The 9,538-nt window shown below is 48.5% G+C and overlaps 1 protein-coding gene across 1 annotated transcript; it reads left to right on the top strand.

The window, feature by feature from the left end:
• The first annotated feature begins 4,293 nt into the window (after positions 1–4,293).
• Positions 4,294–9,374, top strand: FABP1 (fatty acid binding protein 1). Its single transcript, NM_001443.3, has 4 exons — positions 4,294–4,405; positions 6,008–6,180; positions 7,770–7,862; positions 9,252–9,374. Exons 1-4 carry the CDS (start codon positions 4,339–4,341, stop codon positions 9,300–9,302), a joined length of 384 nt encoding a protein of 127 aa, NP_001434.1. The 5' UTR covers positions 4,294–4,338; the 3' UTR covers positions 9,303–9,374.

The following is a 9,538-nucleotide window of genomic DNA, read 5'->3' as shown; positions in this document are numbered from 1 at the left end:
ACTGCTTTCCACAATGGCTGAATTAATTCACACTCTCACCAGTAGTCTGAAATGTTCCTTTTCTCTGCAACCTTGCCAGCATGTTATTTTTTGACTTTTAATAGTAGCCATTCTGACTGGTGTGTGATAGTATCTCATTGTGGTTGTGATTCGTTTACGCAATTATTTCACAAGGCAAAAAATGTTGTGACCATTTAACAGATAAGCAAGTAGAGGCTCACCAAGGCTCCACATCAGGTATAAAGAAGAGCTGGGCCCAAACCCAAGTCCTTTCCCTCTGCAGCCCTGCCTGTAGCAGAATTATGGGCTCCTCGGGCCACCTCCTATGTTCAAAACACCCAGGAAATGGGCAGGCTGGCATTGCAGGCACTGAGGTCAAAGGCGCTTGTTCTAAAATGAACACCTGTCATATCCTGGCCACCAAGAGGTGACTCCCCTCCTTTCCCACACCTGCACGCTGCCCGTCTGAGTAGGGATGTGAGAAGAGGGGATGTCTAGTGTGGAGTGAGCAGGGCCAGAATCTTTGGACACTCCAAAGCTGTGCCCACAGAGTGGGAGTCTCTTTTTTTCTTTCTTGAAAGCCACTTGAACTTTGTCATTGCAATTAAGCTTATCTCTTCTTGTGTTTGCTCAGCTAGTGGGTGGAAGATGTCATTACCCTCTCCTAACTTTATGGAAAACTCATGAGTATTAGTTTTTGAAATGGCTACTGATCTCTGTGCCCTCAAGATTCACACACACACAAAAAAAAAAGACAAAGGGAAGTCATCGGGGGTTGCCTAAGAATGGCCATATCTCAGACCTGGGGGAGAGGGGGAGTCCTGGCCTGGCGTTGATCAGCTCAATTTACTTGTCAGGCTGCCCATCTGCCAGGGAAACTGTCAAGGCTTCACTGGTTGTGCCAGGCCCTTGACCAACCTCTGGGTCAGCTGCATTCCCAATGCTGTTCTGAGTCTGCAGGCGTTGCCTGGACAGGGTAGGCAGGAAGTGCAGGGTGAGGCAGAGTGGTCCACAAGGAGACAGCTCATGGGTCCTGCTGTTCCTCAGACACCAGGAAAGGTGCACCTGGTCCCTACTTCACCTGAGGCCTCCGGGGTTGGTGCTGACTTGCTCTATGGAGAAGCTTTCATGACGCTCCTTCCCACTCCCCTCCGTAGATCCCAGAAAGCAGCAGTGTGGGGCATGATACTTGACATTTGCGATCAAGGGGAGAGGGCCTAGTTGTGGAATGTATAAGCCAGACATCCCTTTATCTGAGCGGGATGTCAGGCAGGCAGCTGGGGGCATGAGATAACATGGGCACTTGGAGCAGATTCTCCCAAACGAAGCAACTGATGGGTGTGATGGGAGTTGGGCATGGTAATGACTCTATCACGGTCATTTTCCTCGGTGATTATTTCATTGATTTTAGGCTGCAAAACTCCTAAGCTCCCCATCTAAGCAAGTGTTTACGTATTCCTTCCTTGACAAATGCTAGAAGAGCTCTTTAGGTAGGTAGTGAATAGGATCTCAGGTATAGAGCTGAATTTAGCCCTGGGCTGAACCTTCACATGGTCATTAGACAGACATATGCCAGCTATTGGTGCAGGCTTTAGGTGTCACATGTAACCCAGATGGGATCTAAATAAAATGACCTTGAATTCCTCCAAAGCCCTTCCTAGGATGTCTAGGGACCTGGGGAACCCTGTAGGGAATGCATCCCCACAGACACTCCACTTCCTGGTACTGCTTCTGCATGTGCCATCTCAGCCTCATCACATCCATCCAGAAATAAAGCTCAGCCTTGCATCATTTTCCACTTGCTCACATATTGATTCAGGCACTATATTTTACTGAAGCTTTTGAAATAGTTGGGGTGGAAATTAAAGAAAGATGGATGGGGATTCACTGCAGCAAATGAGCAGCTTCAAAGCCAATGCCATCCTGGAGCTCTTCTTGCCTTGCGGTCACTGGGGGTATCTCAGTGACCCATCACCCCATGCCCTCTTGGTGGCCTCTCTCCTGCCTGCCTGCCACATTCCTCTCTCTCCTTTCTGCAGTCTGGGGGAGGGACAGGAAGACACACCCAGCCTCTCCTGGTCTCCTGCATGAGGGAGCTGCCCTTCTCTTCACCAGCTTGGCTCTCGCTGACACACGGGTCTGAGGTCTGGGGTCTCACACACTCTGTCTCCCAGGCAGCTAATCCAGTCATTTACACACACACACACACACACACACACACACACACACACACACTAGGAATTCTCATGCCAGTTCTTAAGACAATGGATTTTTTACTTCCTTACATATACAAAAATGAAAAATCAGCATCCCATCTGGAGACCAGGGTCTAATATGGACCCCTTTAGTACAATAGACATGTTAAAAGATGTATAATCAAAGCTCAGAGCAAGATGAGAGAAGGACTGTGGGTGTGCCCATACTTCTTTGAGCCACCTCGCCCCTTCCTGCCCGCTGTTCAGGTAGTCGTGGTGATTATAAAAAGCCATAAGTTCTCAGCATGCAGGCCCACTTCGCTTGCTGCAGGGACAGCCCCAATTCATGGCCTGGGAGGCACCTTGTGTCCTAGACACTGTCAGAGGAGGGCCAAGCAGGGAGGGCCAGAGCACCCCTCTGTGCTGGAGGGAAAGGTCTGCTGGTGCCAGAATCTGCATGGCAGGACACTCCATTAGTGAGTGTTCTCTGCCCACACTGCTCCAAAGGTGAGGACCTCCCTGTGGCAGGGTACACCTTAACACCACCTGTCAGGGATGCTGTAGAAGGACCCTGGCACTGGGACTGTGGGTGGAGGAGAGAACTTCTGAAGTGCTTTGCTGGATCAACATGTCCAAATGCTGGAGACCACGGAGGGCAGAGAGAGTGGCATGGACGCCCCCGATGTGTCCACTTGGCCCTGTGGCTGGAACTGTGGCTTGAGGAGAAGGAAGGAAAAAGGATGGAAAGGTAGACTGGAGTTGCCTTTTGAGGGCTGGCAGCCCTGCTAGAAGTTTAGGCAATGGGAGTCATTTTCCAAGCCAAAAATTAGAACTCATGATAGGGACATGGAAGTGTTATTGGGGGTGGCCATCATGACCCGTCACGTGACACTAGGCCATCCAGGACCTGTGGCCTCTGAAGTGATGGGAACCACTGAGGCTCATGCCTGGAGCAGTGGCCCGACTCAGCCTATGCTTCAGGATGATCTGTCTAACCACAGAGTAGAGGAGGCCCAGAGGATGAAGGCTGGAGGCTGCAGGTGAAAAGGTTGACGCCAAAGTCCAGACAAAGAAGGGAGAGAATCTAGGGGTGAGGGGGTGCTTGTAAGGAGCTGCCTCAGAGGCAGGAACTGGGACGTGCACCCATTGGGCACCACGCCTCTCTGTGCTTCACAACAAACTGGCACATCCCAAGGCCACTGGAAGCCCTGCTGGGCCATCTCCCCAAGGCCAGTGCTGTACACATAACCCTACAAGACCAGTTTCCTACACATAACCCTACAAGACCAGTTTCCTACACATAACCCCAGATCCCTTGTCCTGTCTTCTCAGTGGGGCTGGAGCAAGTCAGCAGGTGCCACTTTCTCCTGCCTTGTCTCTGCCTAATAAAATGCGTCTCAATGTTTTACACCTGCCATTTAGCATGGACTGCTTTAACACCTCAAAAAGGCCTGTGGAGGAGCCTATAATCATCAAGGAGGAATTCCCAGAATACAAAATAACACTAGCGGCTGATAACAACTCTAAAAAATAAGTTTGTGTAATAATGGGGGTGAGAAGAGATCATAAGGTTATGTAAATAAGGTGAGGTTTTGAGTTCAAAGGAATTCTCTGGTATTTTTCTGTGTGTGTACACATGCACCCACACACTTGTGTGTATATGTGTACAGACATATATAAACACATGCATATAATGTGTATATATGCATTACATATATGCACATTCATACATCTTTATGTACAAAATACATATATGTATATATAAACACCGATGTACAAACACATACGCACACATCTATATACATACACATGTGTGTGCACATATACACATACCTGCATATACACACATTTCGTGGGGTGCGGAGAGTCACTTAAAGGCTGCAGGGCCATAAGGCTTCCTGCTTGACTGATATTCATTAATGTTTGCTGAATTACAGCAAACCTTTGCTGTGCCCATCCTGTTCTTTATCATTGACCATTGCTCTCAGGAGTTAATGTTTGAACCTGGCCATAAAGGAATCAACAGCTGCTGACCTCTGGCCGCTATTCGAAGGGAAGGGAGCCCCCTATAAAACAGCCTACAGTGGACAGTCTGGTCGGCAGAGCCGCAGGTCAGTCGTGAAGAGGGAGCTCTATTGCCACCATGAGTTTCTCCGGCAAGTACCAACTGCAGAGCCAGGAAAACTTTGAAGCCTTCATGAAGGCAATCGGTGAGTGCTGGACTGAAAGGCAAAGCTGTGGGTCACATCAGTGAGGGTCTAGCTCTACCAGCAGTGGCTATTTAGGGTCCAAATGTTGAGATGGGGGGAGAGATTCAGGCTATATACACAAACTAGGGGGCATTTTACTGACTTCTGGAGTTATTTGCAGCAAGTCCTCACTGCACAAGGCCACCCCATAGGCAAGTGGAAAGAGCACTGAACTAGGGTGTGGTCTGGATTGATGGCCATGTCATTGGCACTTCGTTGTGTGATCCTATTCCTGCATTTATTCATTCTTCAAACAAACAGTGATTCAAGGCCAACCACACACTGAGCACTGTGCTGGATAGATACCAGGGAGACAGATGATAAAGGCAATAAGGCATTTTCTTATCAGGGAAGAGAAGAGAAGAAATAAAGGTAATAAGGCATTCCCTCAGGTGTATGGAGCGCTGACTGTGCCAGGCGACTGTGCTGACCATGGGATATGCAATACCCCATCTATTCCTTGCCAAAAAACTAAGCTGGGTACCATTATTTTCCCACTTTACAGTTAATGCAACTGAAGCCCAGAAAGGTTTAGTAATCACAAGCAAGGTCATGCAAGTAGGAAGTGTTTAAGTTAGGATTGGAAGCAGGCACTGGTTCTCAGAGACCCTGCTTTAACCCCTGTGCCTCCTAGGGTCATGTACAGGAGGATGTGGCTCACAGAGAGCATGGGGGGATGGCTCAGTGGAGGTAAAGAGAAGGCTCAGGCTGAGCTTTGGAAGACAGGTGTCTAGGGAACTGGGGGCAGGGAGCATGCTCCAGGCAGAGGGAGCCCTATAAGCAAAGGGTGTGGCATGGCAAGGGAGGGTGCCAAGAATGAGAAGGGTGCTGAAGACAGCAGGGGCAGGGAGAGAAGGACCTTCAGTGCTGCCAGAGAAGGATCTTCTGCAGGCAAGCCATACCACCTCTGTGTCTCTCATCTCTCCCTCATGCAACAGGACCCTCTGTGCTCACTGTCCACCCACAAAATTTTTGTGAACCTCAATTTGTATAACAGCATAGACAAGTTCTGAAACTGGTAAAGCTCTATCCCAGGGCAAGGGATTGCTGGTATGTCTTCCTCCAGAGCCTTGACTGCAGAGGTGGACACAGGCTTGCCTGGCACAGTGCCGCTTTGTGTATGTTGGCCTGGCATGATTATCAGCAGCTCCCCTTTCACTTGCAGGAGGGACCTAGCTTGGAAGATCAACTCTCTGGTCACCAGGGGTATGGGGAATGAAATGCTCACACTCCAAGAGCAAAGTCATCAAAGGAGGAGGGAATGAGGAAGGAGAGTGAGCAAGAACCAGGGTGCTTACAAGAGGAACGGTTCTTCAGGCCAGAAGAGTGTCCTTTTTATAAATTGACTGGCAAGATAGCAGCAGGCCAGGCCAGGTCACTGTCCCTTCCTTTCTGAGGCCACAGCCGATGCTGCTGACAAGCCCCCAGTGAGTTTCTGTGGCCCCTTGGGAGACACAGTGCCCTTCTCTGTCCCTCCATGTCATGTCGTTTCTCTCACCTACCTACCACGGTCATGAAACTCCCACCTCTGCCCATATCTAAACCTCAGACGGTTTCCACCAGGTCTGCCGGAAGAGCTCATCCAGAAGGGGAAGGATATCAAGGGGGTGTCGGAAATCGTGCAGAATGGGAAGCACTTCAAGTTCACCATCACCGCTGGGTCCAAAGTGATCCAAAACGAATTCACGGTGGGGGAGGAATGTGAGCTGGAGACAATGACAGGGGAGAAAGTCAAGGTAGGAGGGCATCCCTTCTGCTGTCAGAACTTTCCTTGGAACCTGGCCCTGGGACCTCATTCCTCAAGGCTCAAACCTCACAATTCCACCCACAGATACCATCTCTGAACCCACCTCCCATGTGGGAGAAGCAGAGAGACAAAGGCAGCTCTTAGGGAAGAATCTTATAGAGAAGCTGCTCTCCTCTTCCCAGGGACTGTCTGGGGGGTGTTCCAGCCCCTAAAGTCTGAGCTCTCCCATATGGAGGATATGGGAGAACCAGGCATACAGCAGGATTCTAAGTCTCAGGTTCTCCCAGGCCCAGTGCTCCTAGCACTAAGAGTCCTCTAAGCAGGGCCCAGGAGTGGGGCAAGTGGGAGTTTGTGAAAAACCCTTAACTGAGCCCAAAGTCAACTGGCCTTCACTGAACCTAGAGCTGGTGGTGATAGGGAGAGACTTCTTGAAGGAGGTGCTAGCAATACCAGAATACCAGGGCCCCAGACAGGTGCTCAGACCCTGCCTTCAGGGGTGGTCACAAAGTCTCTGGCTTCAGCCACCCCATCTGTAAAATAAGAACAGTCAACCTCCCTAGACTGAAGGCAGTGCAGGGCAGCATCACTTCTGCTGGGCACAACTCATGGTGTGCAATGACAGCTGGGGTGTGGGCTGTGTGAGTGGTTGGCAGATGGTGGCAGGGGGATCCTGGCAATGGGGGTGCCCGTCTCCTCCTCCCTCTGAAACACTCCATGCTCTAGCAGCCCTCTTCTCTCCTCCCCGTGGACAGCTCTGTTCATTGGGCTGGGCGTGTTTGCTTTTTATCTCTTCTGGTCACTCTTTATTTCTGCCTCTCCAATTAGAACATTACAGGTCAGGATGATTTTAGGAGGATAATATTCTTGATGTGCTCATGGTCAAGGGATTTAACTATGGGCCTTTTCCAAATTTTCTTTTTGGAGGCAAAATGTTTAATGTTGCCCAGGGTCTTTGGCTCCCTGCTGGGTTCCTGTCATCTCTTCCAGGATGTATAAGGGCTTGGAAGGAGGCCACAATATGAAAAGTTAACGCTCTGGGAAGAATAATACATACCTGGTTGGGCGGGTGGCTCATGCCTACAATCCCAGCACTTTGGGAGGCTGAAGTGAAAGGACTGTTTGAGCCTAGGAGTTCAAGACCAGCCTGGGCAACATAGCAAGACCTCATCTCAATTAAAAAAAAAAAAAAAAGAAGAATACATACCAAAGCAAAATATGTATTCTCTACTGGTCAATATTTGAATTTTGCCACTACCTCCCTCCATTAGCTTGGGAGAATTGAGATTTTACTTGATTTGATTTTAGCATTTGTATTTGGGGCCACTTAGGTGTTCCATGCTCATTTCTAGATCACATGCCATGAATTAAAGTTCTGACAAAAGAAGTCGTGACATTTTATTTAGTTCTTAAATGCACCTCACTTCTATTTGGAGCCAGAGAACTAGAGGCTTGGGATCATAGGAACCAGAGCATTTTGGTTGTTATGAGCTGAGACCTGTGCAAAGGAAGCAACTTCATTAGCAAGGCTCTTGCCCCCCACCACCCCTTCCTCACAGGTCACCTCTCTGTTCCCTGCAGACAGTGGTTCAGTTGGAAGGTGACAATAAACTGGTGACAACTTTCAAAAACATCAAGTCTGTGACCGAACTCAACGGCGACATAATCACCAATGTAAGTTGGTGGTGCTCTGAGCGTGTGGCTCCCAGTGCTTGAGGGGAGAGGGGAGGTGAAGCATGGGGAGCGGCTCACATACCCTAATGCCACCCCTCCACCCTCCAACCCCCAAACTTCTTTCCTGTGGTCAGTATCTGCCAGCACTTACTGAGGATCCATCATGTCCCAGGCAGTTTACACACATTATCACTAATCCTTTCTGCTCAGCGCAACCAACCAGCCACAGAGGCCTCCACCTGCCCTGCATGCCCAGGGTGCTTCATAAATGCCTTTGCCCATTTAGCGTTTATAAAGAGAATCCCATTCATGGTCATATTATGGCAGCTTACAAGCCTGGCACAGTCCAGTTATGCAGTCAGCCTTGGTGCCTGGCTGCCAGCCACATCCTGTACCCTATTTGGGGGTGAATGGTGCAGTGTTTCTCCTGCAGGTATGTCCCCCTGACTCTTCTTTGCCCCCAGAATATGCTTTAGGGAGTCACAGACAACAGAACACTGCCTCAGGGCGCTGTCATCACTCTATTCAAATGGAAAAATTCTTAAACTAGAGAGAGTGTGAGCATCAACCACCCAATGTGCAGTTTCCACCTCCGCCCCAGCACATTCCCAGGAGAGCAGGGGAGCAGGAGATGAGCTATCCTGCAGTAAGTCCTGGCCAACGCCCTTTGATAGGTTCCATCTCACCTAATCCTCCTGTCTCCTTCGAGGGAGGCTGGATGAGGGATTCAATAGACAGGTTGACCTGTCCAAGTCATCAGCTAATAAATGTTAAATCCAGGGCTCAAACCCATCAAGCAGCAACTATTGCATTGCTGCTGAAACTGAGGGGCTCCTTTTCACCCTGATGACATGGTATGTCATTCCAGCAGTCTTATTCAAGAGAACTGGCAGGGGTGGAGGAAACATCCTTAAAAACTCAAAAGCTGATGCATCCACTGTTTTTATATGCTTCACAGCTATAGGAGGACAATTATGCACTACCCACTGCCTTCCAGGCTGTGTGCCTAGTTGTGTCCATGTACATGTATCCTTGGTGCTCAACATGTATTTGGTGCATAGTAGGTACTCAATGAAATTTTGAGAAATTAGATTGGGCTGGTTTGGATGGTCTTGCTATAACAGTCATTGATGTAGAAAAGAATTCAGTCAAAGGCAGGAGGACTTTCCAGGTGAGGAGGAGAAGTGACAAAGACTTGGCATAGGATTTTGGAAAACATTGCCAACCTTTCCTCCGGTCCTACAGGAAACCAGACGAATTTTTGAATTGTTTCATATGCCAACATATTTGGTGCTGTTTTTTAAGCTTAATTTTGTTTTTTATGCTTAATTTTGTTTTTTACAATACAACATCAGATGAACACTTCATAATTTCTTTTCTGGCTTTCAGACCATGACATTGGGTGACATTGTCTTCAAGAGAATCAGCAAGAGAATTTAAACAAGTCTGCATTTCATATTATTTTAGTGTGTAAAATTAATGTAATAAAGTGAACTTTGTTTTAAAAAAAAATGTCTTCTCAATGCCTTTTCATTGATGGTGCTATTGCTCACCATATTCTCGTAAATATACTTTCGTAAATGTTGATAATCCACATGATCCACACTACCAGGTCAAATCCGAAGAGTAATTCCCTGAACACAAAACCCATGCTGCACACCCAGGTGTTCTGCCAG

The sequence above is a fragment of the Homo sapiens genome, chromosome 2, assembly GCF_000001405.40.
Source record: "Homo sapiens chromosome 2, GRCh38.p14 Primary Assembly".
Taxonomy (NCBI): Eukaryota; Metazoa; Chordata; class Mammalia; order Primates; family Hominidae; genus Homo; species Homo sapiens.
The sequence above is the reverse complement of the archived record's forward strand: the minus strand, read 5'-3'. Positions and strand labels throughout refer to the sequence as shown.

Bases quoted from the DNA above. Each gene is read 5' to 3' on its own strand.
- FABP1 (NM_001443.3), top strand. From the start codon at position 4,339: ATGAGTTTCTCCGGCAAGTACCAACTGCAGAGCCAGGAAAACTTTGAA. The intron at 4,406-6,007 runs GTGAGTGCTGGA...GGTTTCCACCAG, and splicing joins AGCCTTCATGAAGGCAATCG to GTCTGCCGGAAGAGCTCATC. The intron at 6,181-7,769 runs GTAGGAGGGCAT...TGTTCCCTGCAG, and splicing joins TGACAGGGGAGAAAGTCAAG to ACAGTGGTTCAGTTGGAAGG.